This window comes from Homo sapiens, chromosome 20 (assembly GCF_000001405.40).
Source record: "Homo sapiens chromosome 20, GRCh38.p14 Primary Assembly".
In the NCBI taxonomy this organism is placed as follows: domain Eukaryota; kingdom Metazoa; phylum Chordata; class Mammalia; order Primates; family Hominidae; genus Homo; species Homo sapiens.
Genome location: NC_000020.11, coordinates 16,435,403 through 16,453,340, shown reverse-complemented (window position 1 = coordinate 16,453,340; position 17,938 = coordinate 16,435,403). Strand labels below are relative to the sequence as shown.

Genomic DNA, 17,938 nt, shown 5'->3' with positions numbered 1-17,938 from the left:
TTTTTTCTCTAGTACAATTAATTTTTTCATTCATTTTATATAGTTTATATTTTATCTTATTGATTGATTGATTGAGACAGGATCTCACTGCTGCTCAGGCTGGAGCGCAGTGGTATGATCATAGCTCACTGCAGCCTTGAGCTCCTAGGCTCAAGTTATCCTCCCACCTTAGCCTCCCAAGTAGCTGGGGCTACAGGTGCATACCACTAAACCTGAGTAATTTTTTTTTTTTTTTGGTAAAGATAGGGTCTCACTATGTTGCCCAGGCTAGTTTCATATTTTATATTGGAACTTGGTCTATTTAGAGTTAATCCCATGTGAAATATGTAAAGTATGGCATCAGTTTTATCTTTTTCTAAATGGCTATCTGGTTGCCACACATGTGTATTTACAGATTGATCTTTACTTACTGTTTTGAAATTCTTCACTTCTTCTATTTTTTTTTCTTCGTTTTTCATCCTTCCTGAGTTCTGTGCATTTTCTTTTTTTCTTTCTTTTTTTTTTTTGAGACGGAGTCTCACTCTGTTGCCCAGGCTGGAGTGCAGTGGCGCGATCTCGGCTCACTGCAAGCTTCGCCTCCCAGGTTCATGCCATTCTCCTGCCTCAGCCTCCTGAGTAGCTGGGACTACAGGCACCCACCACCACGCCCAGCTAATTTTTTGTATTTTTAGTAGAGACGGGGTTCCACTGTGTTAGCCAGGATGGTCTCGATCTCCTGACCTCGTGATCCACCCACCTCTGCGTCCTAAAGTGCTGGGATTACAGGCGTGAGCCACTGCTCCCGGCCTCCTGAGTTCTATGCATTTTCTTCTGCATCCCTGTTTCCGGTCATGTCTTTGAAGTTTTAGGATGTTTCACTGCAGCTTTCTAGCTTTGTGGATATACTTTTCTGGTGCATTTTCTTCTGCTTCTGAGAAACAATAGTTTTTTTTTTTTTTCTTATAGGGGTTATGGCAGTTTTACTTACTTTTTTGCTCATATTCAAATTATTTGTATTTTTCTGAATTTTCTGTTAGCATGAGGGTCCTGTGAGGTTGGAAGACTTAGGGCAGCCTTCTCAGTTTCTCAATATCCTGTAGCTTCTTTTGCTGCTGAATTTGCAATTTCTCTGGACTCTTTGTTCACTTTCCATGACGTTTCTGTCTGCTTTTCTCACTGCTCCCTTCTCCACCCTGTTCATTCTCAGATCCTCTCAGAGCAGTTCCTACTGAGCCTGAGCCCCTCTCCTCCTGTTGGTGAATATTTGCTGGTGGTTTCTGGGTCTGCTACTTACAGACCCACCCATTCTTACCTGGTGCCCCCCTCCCATGCCATCAGTTCTGATGTTGTGGGTGTCCCTTCACTTACTCATGTTATTTGAGTAAACATAAAGAGGTTCTAGTTACTCTTCCAGCTGCTTTTCATGCTTTTTAGGACAAGAAGGAAGAGTCAGGTGTGAGCAGTGCCCATACCTTTTCTAGAGTCTGGATAGATTCTACATATTCCTTTTAAAATAGGTAAACATGAGCTTAGCTTTAAAATACTGAATATTAAAGTAAATAAAACCAAGGCCTGAATAAAAAAAAAGTTTGGTCCCCAGTATTTCTACAAATACCAGGAATCTTTAGCGTGTATTGGATATATAATCTTCGACAGCACTGGATAGGGTGACATGAATACGAAGTTGGTTTAATGTTGCTTTAGTGTTGCTTTCTCTCCTGACTTCTGTTTTCCAAGTCTACAAGGTAGAGCTTAAATGAACTTGACTACATTCTTCTGCAGAGTAATTTTGTTGTTGTTGTTGTGGTGGTGGTGGTTTTTTTTTTTTTAACATGGTAGTAATTATTTCAACTTAATGCAAATGGCATAGTGATCCAAAGAAAGAAGTCTTCAAATTACTTAGGAGTGCTGTTTTGGGCCATTTATGATTTATCAGGAATCACCATTAGTGAAAATTTAAATACTAAGAGAAGTGTAGTTCTGTATGCTTCGTAAACTTTCCAAGTGGCTAGAGGAGCTCCATTTTTTTTTCTGTCTCTCATTATTCTATGAAATGTGTTTTTATGTCTCCCAAGTCTAGCAGCATCGTACATTTGCTGCTATAAATGTCTCCCATCAGAAGGCCAAATAAGGAAGTTACAATTATAGAAATGTTTTCCCTAAAGACATTAGCCACATGCGACGCTGAACGACTTGCTCTATTTCAGTCTTTCTCATTTGTATTTTCCAGACGTACATTCTATATGAGCTTGGAAGGCAGCTTGCAGAGTCTGTGCTGACAAGCTTATTTTTCCATATAATGTGGAAGAAACACTGATACTGAGATTTTGACTGACCCAGACCTGTCTGTAAACGCGCAGGTATGACAGAAGATGCGCGGCACTCTCTTCATACACTCACATCACCTGTCACTTAAAACAAATTGTGACAGTCTTGGGTGAAAAATAGTAAACTATAACCTGCTCACATCATTTTACTGTTTATCTGTGTTCAAAGAGTGGCACATTCAAGTCTCTTTGGTTTTGAACTCCTGTCATCAAAATCCAGATCTCAAATATGACTCTGTTTGTTTCCTCTTGCTGTTGAGCATCTCTTCTTGCTTAAAGCTCAGCTCATCCTGACACTGCATGTTGAGTGTACCATACACCAGGTACTGTGAGGTGCTGTGGTTCCAAACCCCAGTGAGATGCTGCCCCTTTTCTCATGAAACTCACAGCCCAGAGAGGGAGACAGCACGTCGTGACAATACAGTCAGACAGGGAGAATAGTAACAAGGCACGTGGGACGTGGAGGACTGGAGCGGAGGAACAGCCTGTGGGGCAGGTGGGGAGGTGTGTGCATGTCTGTCTGTGAATGTGCTCAGGGTTCTCAGGTCCTTGGCTCTTCTGTACTCCTTTGTCTGCTTCATGCTGGGAAAGCTTTTGCGGTAGAACTTTGCCAACCCTCAGGCTGACCTGGCATTTTGGTACTTTAAGCTGAAGGCAACTGATAGCTCTTTGAGCTCTGAGTGAAGATGTTACATGGTAGAGTTGGGGCTTATTTGTAAAGTTCATTTCTTTTGAGATGAGTCCAGCCCCAAGTTGCATAAACACCAATACTGAGGCGTGTGTATAGGTATTTGTGTCTTTTCTAGCTTGCTATATATTTTCTTTGTGATCTAAATTAGCAAAGATCTATAAAATAGATCTATAAAATTGGATTTTTGACCAAATGCTCATAAACTTTACCAATCTATGGAAATATTGAAATAGGCTGGATCACATTTATAATTTTTGAAAAGCGTATGTTTGCCATTCTTGTACCATGGCCCAGCCTGTCCATAGTATATTAATTTATATAATATGCTTTCTGAAAGCAAGCATTTTTATGATCTGTCTTTTCTTTTTCCTCTTAATTCTTTCGATTTTCTTCTAGTATTTCTGCTGTTCATTCTTATAGTTATCCTCATTAAAAACTATATTTCTGGTTCACTTTCATGTGCCCTGGTGCACCCATGTGTCATGAGGTGCTCAGTGAATGTTTGTTGAAGCAAGTCATGTCAAGGTGGCTCTGTCTTAGCAACTATTTTTCCAGTAATTTTCTCACCCACCTTCCATCCATTTAACTGTTGTTTATTTGATAAGGGGTTCTATATCCTGTTATTCATAATTGTATTTAATTTACCTATTTTGACATTGCATTCAGTTTTATAACCTTATTTCCAACAACTATTGAGATCAGCCTTTATTTTGAACTGGTTTTAATGCTTGCTTCCACTCGGTTTAGACCATCTCCCACCTCTATTCTTTGGTTCTTTGTTTAGGTTGTCTGTTATTTATCATCTCAGAGTCATTGTTTTCAGAGCAAGTTTGTGGACCTTCTTTTGGTGATTTTGCTACTTTTGCACATGAAGAACTATGTGAGTGAAGAACTATTTTGCTCTTGATCTTTTCCCCTCAAACTGCTGTGAAAGTCACTTTCTTATGTTCTGGAGCTCAGTATTGCCAAGGGACATTCTTTCATTGGCGTAACATTTTTTTTCTTTTGTAAACATTCTCTGTTTTTGTGTTGATACTATAGGATTTACAATTTTATTTTTAAAATTTAAAATTTTCAGCAGGTCTTTCCGTCCTTTTGCCTTCCTATTCAGAGACCCCCTTTTTTGGTCAGGTGCTGGCCTCTTTTCAGCTCATTTCCATTGACTCTTTCAGTGTAGCTTGTCCCTCATTTATTCTTTCGCTTTCCTCTGCAGTTCCCATTACGTTTCATTGACAATTTCCATTTTTTCTTTCTCTGTGTCTGTTATCTTCTCCTACATTATTTTCATCTATTTATTCTTGACACTTTCATTCTATGACTGCATTTCATGTTTGCTTTCTGATTTTACCCATTTGATTATTTGAAGTGTAGATTGTATTCTTTCTCCTTCTAATATAGAATCTAATTCTGAGTTTCCACTCACATGTCAATTGTTTCCTCCCTCTCTCTCTCTCTCTCTCTCTCTCTGTCATATTTCTATCTGTTTTTCTTAAGGTCATGTTTTCTTGGACTAGCTTCTTATTGTAAGCAGAATAGAGCAAAACACTTCATTTCTGCTATCTTGAATATGCTGTTCCCTTTATTTTGCTTTCGAAAATCTTTTTGCTAGGAGAGCTCTGTTGTTGTTGGCTCTTGTCGTGGGCTATTGTTGCTTACTTAAATTGTTTGCCAGTGGTTGTTGCTTGCTGTTTATGGTCATTGATGTTGGTTGATGTTTGTTGGTATTATTATTGTTGCTTGTTGTTTGTTTTGCTTTTGATGGTTGTTTGCTTTTGCTTTTGCCTGGCTGAGGAGTGGCCTGTCCAGGCCCAGGAGGATTTTCTTTGTTCTCTGACACTGCCTACCTTCTTACTGTTAGAAATCTGTGTGAGGTCATGAGCTGAAGGACTGGGCTAGGTGGTCTACACTTTGCCAGATTCTTCATTTGTCTAGTTTGGCTTGTCTTTCTCATAAGGAAAGGCTTATTCCCATAATATCTTATGGGATTATTTAAAGGAGGATTTATCCATAATACGTGGAAGCATCTGCATTTTTTATCTTAGCATAAACACAGCATGAAAAACTCTCTTCTTTGTAGGACACTGTGCACAGCTTTCTTTCCGCCCCTTCCCGTTACCTCCACCATGTGCCAAGACACAGTGTGCAATGGCCTGTTCCTCCACCCTGTGGAGATGGCTGTGATGATGACTGAGTGAGAACTGGTGGAGAAAGAGCAATATCAATGGGGATGGTTGGGTTGGGATGATGACCTAGCCCAGGATACTTCAGAAAAGAATTTCTGCCAACAATTGGCAGTGGAGGTAGGAAGAAGCACAGATAGAAATCTTCCTGTCTTAAGCTTGCTGGTTTTGTGTTTTACTTCACACACCTGTCCATGTTTTGTTTTGTTATTAAAGAGACAGAGTCTTGTTATGTTTGCTGTGTTGCCCAGGCTAGACTCAAGCTTCTGGGCCCAAGTGATCCTCTCACCTCAGCCTCCTGAGTAGCTGTGACAACAGGTGCCTACCACCATGCCTGGCTTGTCAATGGTTTTATCGATAAAACTCCTCAGGGTATGGCCCATATAACCAATATTTCTAGTTTGTTAGAAATATTGAATTTAGTTTACATTTCATCTAAAACAGAAATAGATGAGGATGAAACAGCTGCTTATGGCTTTAGCAGTTGCCATCTTAAGCCAGAGTTTTTATTAGAGCTTGGGGTAGACATTTTTTTTCAATTAATTTTTTTTTAATAGAGACAGGATCTTACTTTGTTGCTCAGGCTGCTCTCAAATTCCTGGCCTCAAATTATCCTCCTGCCTCAGGCCTCCAAAATGTTGGGATTACAGGTGTGAGCCACTGCACCCAGCCGCAATAGGCATTTTTATTGGACTTTTCCAGTATAAGTTTCTGTCACACCTTTTCTTTTCCTAGTGACGTTGCAGGTCATCCTCTAGGACCCCTTTACCCCACGCCCCACGATCTGCAGAGTTGAAGGCAGGTGGCAGATCTGTGATCTTAGTTCAAGAAAGTGATTAAAAAAAAGGAACTTTTTTTTTTTTAACATCAGAATGAGTCTGATTTATTACTTAGCTGCAATTGTCTAGTTCCTTGGCTAACTTAAGAGTAGAGTTTTTAGGCCATAGTAGATCTTTTTAGAACAAGAGGAACTTAAAGTGCAGATGTTCTACGTGGCCCACATCTAAGGTGAATCAGATAAGCCCCTGAAGAGATGTATTAAACTCTTTTCTCATTTCCTATTTGCAAGTGTGGCCTGTCATTTAAACAATTTACAAAATGCTCACTTAGTTTCCAAGGGAGCAGTCATTTTATATTTGAGTGCCTGCCCTGTGCTCAGCACTGGGAAGAAAAAGTTAGAAAAGACAGGGTCCTTGTTCTGAAAATGTGGGAGTAGAGTTGGTGAATATGGGTGAATTTATTCTAGTGCAGGATAGATTATTGTGAGTCCAAGTATTTTTTCAAATTTGCCTGCAAGTTTTGTGTAGGAGCATTTATTGTTTACTCTGCAAAGTCTTCAGAAATTCACAATTCGACCTAGCGTGCCTACTGATGTTTAAGCCTAAATTAACACAATACCTAGGATTTAAATAGTATATTCTCTTATGATTAGATCAGCATTTTCCCTGTTTAGAATTTAACATTAGAATCCAGGGACTTTTTAGGTTACCAAAGTCTGGAAGCTGTAGTTTCATATATATATTTTTGAATTAAAGATCTAGTCTGTTTTAAGGAATTGTTTTAATTTTGTTGATTTCCGTTACCTAACATTTCTGTATTTTAATTGGGTTAATAAAGCACAAATTTACTACATTATCAAGGCATGTAAGGATGCAGACTTAAAATGTCACTGTAGGCAAGAGTTAATGGAATCAAGATGGTGCAGGGGAACATGCCACCAGTTCAGCTGCAGCCTCAAGGTACGCAGTGACATTTAAAAAATGTCTACTGAAGCCAGACAGCCGGTTCATTAGATTAATTAAAGTAAAAACTAACCCCGATCTGGTGTTTTGATAATGACCACAGGTCTGCCAAAGTTGGAATAAGCTAATGCTTGGCATTGTTCTCATTAAGACCACAGTGGAACTGCCTTTATAGTTTATTCTAAACTTTTGAATTCACCTTTTAGCAATGAAGTGAACTTTTAGCTTTCTTGATTGTTTTCTCATGGTTTAAGTGGTACACAAGGGTAAATTTTGTTTTTATTAAAGGTGACAACTTCCTTTTTTCTGGCTCTTACACTTTTTATGGGACATTGAAGAAATAAAGGCAGCAACAGCAGGCTTCTGCACTCTCATAGGCTGTCCATTCTGGAGGAATTCAACAGGAAGAGGAGGTTGTCTACACTGTCTATGACCAAATACAGGGTTTTATTTTTTCATATTTTAATCCATCACACACTAACTTTTCTGTAAAGCACAATAAAAAGGAACTACTAACATAATAAAGTAGAAAAAAAGAGAGACACAAAAAATGGAAGCCCCAGTATTTTATTAGATGCAATGTTTATAAAATTACTCTGTCAAATTGCACTGAAGTTTCTCAATGGTTGCCTTTAATTTTGGCACTTACTCTGGAATGGCAGCAAGCACTTTGCACACTGTCCTGAGTCACACTGCTCTGGACTTAGTGTCACCGTGTAAGCACCTCGTTGGTTCTGTAAAAATGGCCCTGACATGCCTTTCCCTGCTAAAAGTGCTGACCTGGACAAAAACCTGATTCGGACATTTAAGTCCACATTTTCAGAAAAAGGTCATCAAGGCTGCTCCTGATTATGCCATTTGAGAGCACTTAGAATTCTAGGCCATTTGTGATTTTTTTTTTTTTGTTACTCAAATTGCTCACTTAAAAATAAAATTAGTTTCATAAAGTCCCTGCTTAGAATGACTTTAGATTAAAACACACACACACACACACACACACACGTATATACATGTCTGAATACAAATGAATAAATAAGAATGAATAAATATAGATGTATATATATTTCTGAGGCCAAAGATTTCCTGCTCCCAGGGTCCAGGAGTACAGAATGTTAGTTATCATGTGTGCATTTATTATAGATTTCTTTGGGGAAAAATGGCAATAAAAACAAATAAATATATGTGCTCATGTATTCTTTTTTTTTCTTTTCCTTCTTTCCTTTAGAGACAGAGTCTCGCTGTCACCCAGGCTGGTGTGCAGTGGTGCAATCATAGCTCACTGCAGCCTGGAACTCTTAGGCTGATGATCTTCCTGCCACAGCCTGCTGAGTAGCTAGGACTATAGGTGCATGCCACCATGCCTGGCCTGCTAATATATTCGTATTTCCCTTTTTCCGTTCACAATCTATAGTAAATGCATGTGTGATAACTAACACTATGCTGAGACGCTGGAAACAGAGGAGGCTTTTGCCCTCAGTTGAGTTCAGTAAAGAACTTAGTTTATTTAGAATAGAAGCTTCAAGGAAGGTTTTTTTGTTGTTTCTGACATGTAAATGAGAATCAATCATGAATGTCTGTGCTTTCTCTCAGCTAGCACTGAAAGGTTCAAGGTATGTGCAGCGTTTTTCATCTCAGCATTGTTGGCAATAACTAATGAATGCAAAGGTTCTGAGAGCAATTTAAATGCCCACGAACAGTGGACAGGTTACATACATTAAAGTAGATACAAAAAAATGGAATTTTATGTAACTGTGTAAAACTATGAACATTTTTTAGCATGTCTTTCAGTGAACATGTATGCATAATGCAGAGGTCAGCAAACTGCTGCTCCGAAAGGCTAGGTAGTAATCAGTTCCTTCTTCTTGGCCCGCGCCACCTGTGTCGCAAGTACTCCACGGTACTACACCATGATAGCAAAAAGCAGCAGGCAATTTGTAAATGAATGAACATGGAACATGTATTCCAATAAAGCTTTATGGGCATTGAAATTGGAATTTTATACACTTTACACATCATGAAGTAATATTCTTCTTTTGATTTTTTTTTTTGGACCATCTGAAAATATAAAAATCACTCTTAGCATTCCAGCCATACAAAAACAGGCAGACAGCCTTATTTGGCCTTCAGCCATAGTTGGCTGACTTCTACCATAGGGCCTAGGGGTGGAACTGCTGGGTCATGTGATGTGGATATTATTTCACTGTAGAAGACACTGCCAAATAGTTTTCCAAAGTGATTGTATCCAGTTTACAACATGTAAATAGTTTTTTAACTAATGAAAGATGTGAGATTTTATAGTTGAAGTTTGTAATGGCTTAGGAAAGAGTTTGTTTCCTTTTGACTCCTGACTGTAGTTGTGAGAAGTTAGATGTTTAGATAGCTGGCTTGCACTGCACATATTAGCAAACCTAATTGATGTGTGTGATTGGAAAGTGTTGCATGTGTACGTTACATTGTATTTGGTTTACTGCTTTTCTATTAATGGACCAGATCAGCAAACACAATTTATTTTGTATCTTGAACTTCACATTTCCTTGACAAGTTCTATAACCTTAGCCACATATGCTTTACTTATAAAAGTCTTTCTAATGTAATTTCTCTTTATAAAATGGATTATATTCCTTATTTTAATAAACTATTGGGGCCATATGCAGTCAACATTCAAAATTATATTTGGGCTTTGGAGCAGTCCTCTCCTGCATAATCTGAGTGAATGAGCCCTTTTGATTTACTGGGTAATTTATCTAGCTAAAGATATGTTAATAATGTCAAAGTGCAGTGTATCAATTACAGGAATACTTGTGTAAAGTATTGTTGCCCATAGTAGTATTTATACAACCAAGATACACATTTATATCCAGGCCAAATTGATTAGAGGTTTGGGGACCCCTTTGGAGCTGGCGTTCATGTAAAGTGTTCTGTTACGATATAAATGGTGTGAACTCTCAAAGGGACGGGATGAGACAGGACTTGAGTGGCAGATGGTTTTACAAAATATTAACTCTTTGGGTTCATAGAGGACAATTTATTCAGTCACCTGTCCTGTGTCTGGGTTGTGGTTTCCCTCCTTTTCACCAAGTTTACTGCACAGCCAGGGAAGAAACTCCCTTCTGTACCAGTGTTTTCTTTGACATATTGTCATTACTCATGGCATAAGCAGTAGTTTGAACAGTTTGATTTATTAGACAAATTTGGGTTTAGTGATTGGAGTGAATATTTGATTAATACAAGGTGGAAGGGGGTTATATTCTCTCTTCTCCATAAAAAGCAGGTTTTATTTCTGGTTGAGCATCTCTAATCTGGAAATCTGAAATCCAACATGCTCTAGTGAACATTTCCATTGATCATCACATTGGCACTCAAAACATTTGGGATGTTGTAGCATTTTGGATTTTGGATTTTCAGATTGGGGTTACTTAACCCATATCCTAGGAGAAGCAAGGAGCCTACTCATTAGGGGATGGTCTTTACCTACTCACCAGCGTGCCTTGCCATGGGCAGTGTACGTCTTTCAGAAGGGAATTGTGAGAAGCTGGAAGTTTGTTCCTTTTCCTTCTTTTCTTCCTCCCTCTCATTCTTCATCACCTTCTTGCTTTTTCCTAAATTCCCTTCTGATAATGATACTGGCTCCTCAACTGGCTAAGAAATAAACAAAGGCTGTGCACCAAGCTTAGGGATTAACCTCTAACATCTCACCTGTTAGAGAAGACCTCATTTTGCCGCTGCTGGTGGTTCTCCTCCCACCCTACTCCAATTTTATGTGAAAGAATGGTGCAGAGTAGCTTGCAAAAGAGATAAACCAGAGGATTTTGGCTTTAATATTTTATTTTCTGTGTAATTAAAAAAGCTAGGAATCCAGATATATTTATCATCACAGAATCATGCCAAGACACCATTACAAGTTCCGTCATAGAATTTTTTTTCAAGGTGTGATTTATCAAATTTATTTATTTTTAAAATTGATGTGGAAAATTGTATATATTCATCATGTATATATATATAATATGTATGTATATATATACACTGAGCATCGCATTAGATAGGCACCTATTTTATATATATATATATATATACACACACACACACATTGTGAAATGGTTAAATCTAGCCAATTAACAAATGCATTATCTCACATGGTTATCATTTTGTGGTGAGAACACCTAGCATCCACTCTCTCAGCATTTTTCAAGAATACAATATATCATCATTAAGTATAGTCACCATGCTGTACAGTAGATCCCTTGAACTTGTTCCTTCTGTATCACTGTAAATATGCATTCTTTCACCAACATTTCCCCAACCCTCTCCTACAACCACTCCAGCTTCTGGTAACCACATGTCAATTTGTCTGAGTTCACTTTAGATGTTGGCACAGTGATGAAATTACCCAGTGATGTATTTCTCAGAATGCATCCCCGTTGTTAAGTGATGCAGGACTGTATATCTGTAGATTTTTTAATGTAATATAGATAGATCTTTCCATATAATACAGATATAGACTTAGATCTAAAGACAGAGACAGATATAGATAAAATATAAGAGGGTGCCTGCTTTACTCACTGATATATCCCTAATGTAGACTAGCACCTGACAAGTAGCAGATGGTCGTTAGGTGTTGGTTGAATGAATCACAGAAGAAGGTAGCTGGCAAATGAAGGAGTTAGGTCACAGTACTTGCCCTTTTGAGCATTCTCAAAGTGCACCCAGCAGGATAGAGGTGTCATTTGGAGGATACAGAAAATCATAGCCCAACCCTGGATGTAAAATTCCTGAGAGCTTAAAAAAATGCCTGGATCCTGCTCCTGAGATGCTCATTCAGAGGATCTGGTGTGGGCACAAGCCTGATATTTTTTTGATATTTTGACATTTCAAAAAATACCAATTTTTTGAAAGCTTCTTGGTCTAGCGGGAGAAACAAGCAGTGCATGAATGTAAAGTCACTGATCTGTGTTTGACGGAGATCCATGCGATTAGGCCTGATAACTGGTCAGTGCAGAGGAAGGGGCCACAGTAGTCCTGAGTAGGCTCTAACTGACTCCTGGGGAAGGGGAAACATTTGTAACTGGGAATCAGAGGGTTGTCCTAGTAGGACATTATTACTAGAGCACAGGCCGGAGGGTGAAGATGAGCATGACGTATTTCCGTGGGTGAGAAACAAGAACGGGCCAGCTTTACAAGACCAAAGTGTAAGGCCAATGTCAGACTGATGCTTTCTGGGCCACAACATCCCACTTAAAGTAATCCTTTCCGTTAGCTGTTTTACCTCGTGTTAATGTTTGTATTATACAGAAAATGCCCTTTTAGAATCTTCTGATGAACCATCCTGAATATTTTGGTCTTCCATGTAGGTGAAATATACTAAAGTACTTGTGATCAGAAGATGCTGCTCTACTTAAAAAGTCTAGTTAAATATTAATGTGAGGAAATTTGCTCTTGCATATTTTCACACGTAATTTCTTTAATTGGTATTATGCATTTTGCATAATTTAAATCCTGACATCTCGATGATTTGCTCAGCCAGCGGAGAGGACTGTTTCATCCAAAAGATCCACACAGCATCTTCTCTGAACTGTGTGCCAACACTTAGCTGTTTGGCATTTAAATAAAGATCGATGTTTCTGCAATGGGAAGTGTAGTGGAAATTGAACTGCCCCAAGAGTTTCTGTTCATTAAAAGGGCAGTATTAATTGTATTTACTGTTTAGGGGCTGACTGCCAGTAATGTCAGGACATTTAGGTTTGTTGGTGCCATGGTGTGGTGGTAGCCAGACCCTTCTTCTCCTAATTCTGCCCTGGTGAGTCCTGTGGCTCTTCCTCATTGGTTCTAAATGTGTACCTGTGTGTGTGTGTGTGTGTGTGTGTGTGTGTGTGTGTGTGTGTGTGTGTGTGCGCGCGCTTGTGTGTTTTAACCATAGGTATTGTAATATGGATTGTTTTAAAGTCATGGAAAAAGCAAGGCTTTTATATTTTTAGTTCATTTTCAGTGACATCATAGGTGCCTGTCTGATGTGATGCTAGATACAGATTTTGGGGACAGTTATTAAATTATTTATGATGATAGTTTATTAGAACTAAATATTAAAATTCCTGTATTCACTTCTGGCTTATTCTGGCCATATTAACTATTGTTTTGAGTTTTAAGGGCTGCTTTTGACTGGCAAGGAGCATTAAAAACGGGACTGATAAGAGACGGTCTTGGCCTTGGGTATTGTTTTTAATAGTTTGGCTCTCACTGACCCCATCCTGACCTCTCCTTCTCTGGGATTGACATCTTGGCTTGGACCTATTCTTTGCTTTCTGCAGGGACAGACAGCAAATAAACTAATGTATGAGAAATTTTGATCACTTTAAGTGCTGTAAAGACAGTAAGCCAGGTGGAGTGATAGAGTGTGTCTGGGAGTAGGGGTGGAGTTACTTGCATAGGAAATAAGCTTTGTCTGAGCAGGGACCTTGTTCATCTCTGATGTGGTTTGACTGTGTCTCCACCCAAATCTCATCTTGAATTCCCACATGTTGTGGGAGGGACTTGGTGGGAGGTAATTGAATCACGGGGGCAGGTCTTTCCTGTGCTGTTCTCATGATAGCGAATAAGTCTCAAGAGATCTGATGGTATTGTGAGGTGGAGTTTCCCTGCACAAGCTCTCCCTTTGTCTGCTGCCATCCATGTAAGATGTGACTTGCTCCTCCTTGCCTTCCTCCATGATTGTGACGGCTCCCCAGCCACGTGGAACCATAAGTCCATTCAAACCTCTTTCTTCCCAGTCTTGGGCATGTCTTTGTCAGCAGTGCAAAAATGGACTAATACAATCTCACTCATTGGTGTCTTTGGTCCCGAATAGAACAGACTGACAAGAAAGGGCAAGCTATGGAGATTTAGGGGAGAATTTTCCAGGCAGACTAAACAGCACACGGAGAAGCCCTGCAGTGGGAATGAGGAGGCCGCTGTGATTGTCAGGTAGAAAGTGAAGGGGAGATGAGGTTGGAGAGGTGGGCAGGGGCAAGATTAAGTGAGATATGGTGACCATTTTATTCCAAACGTGTGGGAAACCATTGTAGTGTTTTATGCATGGTCTCTTGATATTTTGAAAAGGTGGCTCTGGCTGCCATATGGAGAGTAGATGGTAGGGTGGCAAGAGAAGCAAAAAGACCGATTGGGGGATATCAGAGATTCAGGCAGGCTGTGAAGGTTACTGGGACCAGGGCAGTAGCAGTGGAGATGGAAAGTTGTGGATGATTCTGACCATATCATGCGGGTAGAGCTCTGTGAAGTCTGAAGCACAGAGAGGATTCAAAGGTGATTTCTAGGCTGACCCACTTGATTCTTTTTCCCAAGCTGTGGATTGTGAACTCTGCCTTCCCACCTGAACCTCCTCCTTCCTGGAGCTTAGTTCTGACAGAGGCTGATCCCCAGTGGATTTCCATTTGTTAACGTTCACAGACCGCTCCTTCCCTTCTCTTTTTTGTTTTTGTTTTGTTTTATTTTTGTTTGTTTTTAAATCTGATTGTGATTCATAGAACATAATTAATAGAGCCCTTACCTGAAGGATTACATATTACTAATCAACTTTGCAGGGATGTAGAACATGTTACTGGCCTACCAGTATTGTTTTTATTCACGTCGTCACTCTCTGGGAACAGAGCAAAAATAAAAAAGTCATTTCCTGGAGGAGAATGAAGGAGATTCTTAACATCTTTTCATCATAGCTTGCTTGGGTTTTATGGACCAAAGGAGGAGAAAGGCAGGATGGTGGTTGAGGCAGTTGACAGAGCTTCACTGACTTCCTAGTAATCTTGGTGACTGTTTCTCCTTTGTTAGATGGACATGATTCTTCCTATGTGGAAAATAGAATACAATAGGCCCCCGCTTGTCTGCAGAGGAGATACTCTAAGCCCTCCAGTGGTTGCCTGAAATTGCAAACAATATGAACCCTATATACACTGTTTTTCCCTATATGTATATACCTATGCTAAATTTTAATTTATAAATTAGACACAGTAAGAGATGAACAATAACTAATAATAGAGCAATGATAACATTATACTGTAATAAAAGTTGTATTAATAGTCTCTCTCAAAATAGCTTACTGCACTGTAGTCACCTATTTTTGGACCACAGTTGACATTGGGTAACTGAAACCGGGGAAAGCAAAACTTCAGATACAGGGGGGCCTACTGTATGAGAAACAGTAGCTTCTGGATGAACGCCAGCTTGTTGCTTACTTTCAGGGTTTCAGAGCTAATTGGTTTTTGTTGATAATGACTTTTTCTTTTTTTTTGAGACGGAGTCTTGCTTTGTCACCCAGGCTGGAATGCAGTGGCACAATCTTGGCTCACTGCAACGTCCTCCTCCCAGGTTCAAGCGATTCTCCTGCCTCAGCCTCTCAAGTAGCTAGGACTACAGGTGCACGCCACCACACCTGTTTTTTTTTTTTTATTATTTTTTTTTATTTTTAGTAGAGATGGGGTTTCACCCTGTTTTCCAGGCTAGCCTTGAACTCCTGACCTCAAGTGATCCGCCCATCTCAGCCTCCCAAAGTACTGGGATTACAGGCATGAGCCACCACGCCCAGCTGATAACGACTTTTAGCATTTGTACATTATTAAAAACATGTAAGTTACTAGACACCACTTGCTCGTCAAATTCATGAGTGATTCTTCACACATGAATAATACCTCCTTACTGAGTTCCCTGGAAAGTATTACAAGGAAACATAAGTATATTTTTTGCCTAGCAATAAAAATCTTTTGGCATCTATCAGATTTTCTTGCAGTTCTCCAATTTCCGTATTTCTCATTAAGAGGAGTAAAACACTTGAGGAGAATGTCTTTACTTAATGTCCATCAACCGAAACTGTTAGTCACATAGAATCCACATACCTGTCCCGTGACTCTCAAGGGGTGTCACTTCCATTCTAATCCCATCCCCCTTTTTACTCTGTTCTTATTCACCCTATACATCCTGCCAGATTCATCTGATGAAGTAGCAACCAATTTCTGTTTTCAAAATTGTCAATGCCTTCCCAGTCTCTGAATCAAATAGTGACCCATCTGCTTCGCTTGCCAGACCATTTTTCCAGGTTTACCAGCTAAACTGGATGTCCAGTGGTTCCTTGTGTATGCAGTTGGTCCTCCATATGTGCAGGTTCTGCATCCATGGATTTTACCAACCATAGATTGAAAATATTAGAAAAAAATTGAGAAAATGCTGTACTATTGCTGATATGTATGATATGTTAGACCTATGATGGTTCTGCCTGTACTGAACATGTGCAGACTTTTTTCTTGTCATTATTCCCTGAACAATACAGTATAATAACTATTTACATCACACTTACATTGTATTTGGTATGATAAGTAATCTAAAGATGATTTAAAGTATGCAGAAGCATATGCATAGGTTATATGCAAGTACTACGCCATTTTACGTGAGAGACTTGAGCATTCTTGGATTTGGTATCCTCAGGAGTCCGGGAACCAGTCCTCCATGGATATCAAGGGATGACTGTTTGCCCATGTTTTTAGCCTTTGTATCTTTGCTCAAGAAATCCCCTAAAACCTGGAGTACCGCTGTTTTCATCCTTCCTTTTTGTAGCCTTTTAATGCTATTCTTGTCTTCAATGTTAAAAAACCAGTTGGTGATTCCATCACAGATTTCAAATAAATGAAGAAATAATAGAAAGCATAGCAAACATACAAGCCTGCAGCAGCAATACTGCTGTAAGTCACTAAGAGAAGCATGTGAGAAAAGATCATGAGTGGCTGCTGGGGAAAAGGAAAGATTGTGAAGGGGATATTCCTAAACCTGCACCTGAGAAGCTGAATCAGTGATGATTCCAGAATACCCCCCACTGTACCTTCAAATTGGAGGAACAGAATTGATTTTCCTATTGTTACTGAAGAGTAGTAGTGATGGCCAGTGGTGGTAACTGGAATGAAGTGAGAGCTGAGCTGACTCTCTCTTGTAAGTGAAGGCCTGGGGAAACATTAAGAAGCTCGAGGGCATCCTGCCCCTTCCCTCCCCCTGGGAAGAGGACCCCTTCCCAATCATTAGGGAGCCCAGGAAGAGAGGGCTGGGCCTCAAACAAAGCCTGTGGTGCCTCAGGTGAGACCTCCTAGCCCTCTGTCATTCCATCTGGCTAGAGAAAAGTGGGTGGACTGCAGACTACTCAGTCAACTAGAAACGTCACAGATATGGCCAGGCAAGCATCAAGGAGTTTCCCATCCTATGTTAGGGCACATGGAATATTTGCACAGATACGCCTAAGCATATACGAGATGAAAAAAATGTAGAACAATTATATAAACATAACTATAGCTATGGGTGGCTGCATAGATGGGCAGATGGGCTGGTAGAGAACAAGAAAGAAGAGGAATATAGCACGCAAAAGATAAAAGATCCCAATATAGATGAAATCACACTTCATGGGAGAGAAGGGAATTCCTTACAATTGTTTCATTCGGTAGAACAAATGAATGAGAAACATGAATTCAATAAACAAAGCAAGATGGTAATAAAAAGCAAAGTGAGATGAAAAAAGAAAGATTGTAGAATAAAGAAAGCCTTTGAGGCCCAAAACAACATCATTGCAGGACTAATACATAATTTTAGAAAATATCAAGGAAAAGAATAGACCCCACTGAAAATCAAATTACTAAGAGAATAAAGGCTTGTTAGGCCCATTGAACACAAATGGAATGATCAAGATAGTAAAGCAATCAGAAACTGAAAGAAATAGAAGACAAAGACCAGTGTAATATAAGGACAATTGGTGTTCTTGAAGTAGACGGTCAACAAATGAAATAGAAAATGGAAAATAAAACAAGACAAGCTTTGTGAAATGAAAAATAAGTAGATGAAAGAACTGAGTCTGCAGATCAGAAGAATGTATTGTGTTCCAGGAAAATATAGAGTAGAGGATGTTCAACACTGAGATCTATCCTAATTAAGCCATTGAATTTCAAGATAAAGAAGAAACTCTTTAAACATCCAGACATAAAACCAAATTATCTGCTGTGGACT

At 39.4% G+C, this 17,938-nt stretch overlaps 1 protein-coding gene across 17 annotated transcripts in view, besides 1 other annotated feature; it reads left to right on the top strand.

Annotated features, from left to right (window-relative positions):
* KIF16B (kinesin family member 16B) overlaps positions 1-17,938 on the top strand; it is a 301,345-nt gene that overhangs the window by 120,108 nt on the left and 163,299 nt on the right. The window lies entirely within an intron of this gene.
* Positions 15,489-16,688: an enhancer, noted in NCBI's record as "P300/CBP strongly-dependent group 1 enhancer chr20:16417298-16418497 (GRCh37/hg19 assembly coordinates)". NCBI's record gives its function as "activates an origin of replication core promoter dependent on BRD2, BRD4, P300/CBP, MED14 and CDK7 cofactors, with strong dependence on P300/CBP, by STARR-seq in HCT116 cells {active_cell/tissue: HCT116}" and the evidence as "EXISTENCE:reporter gene assay evidence [ECO:0000049][PMID:35650434]".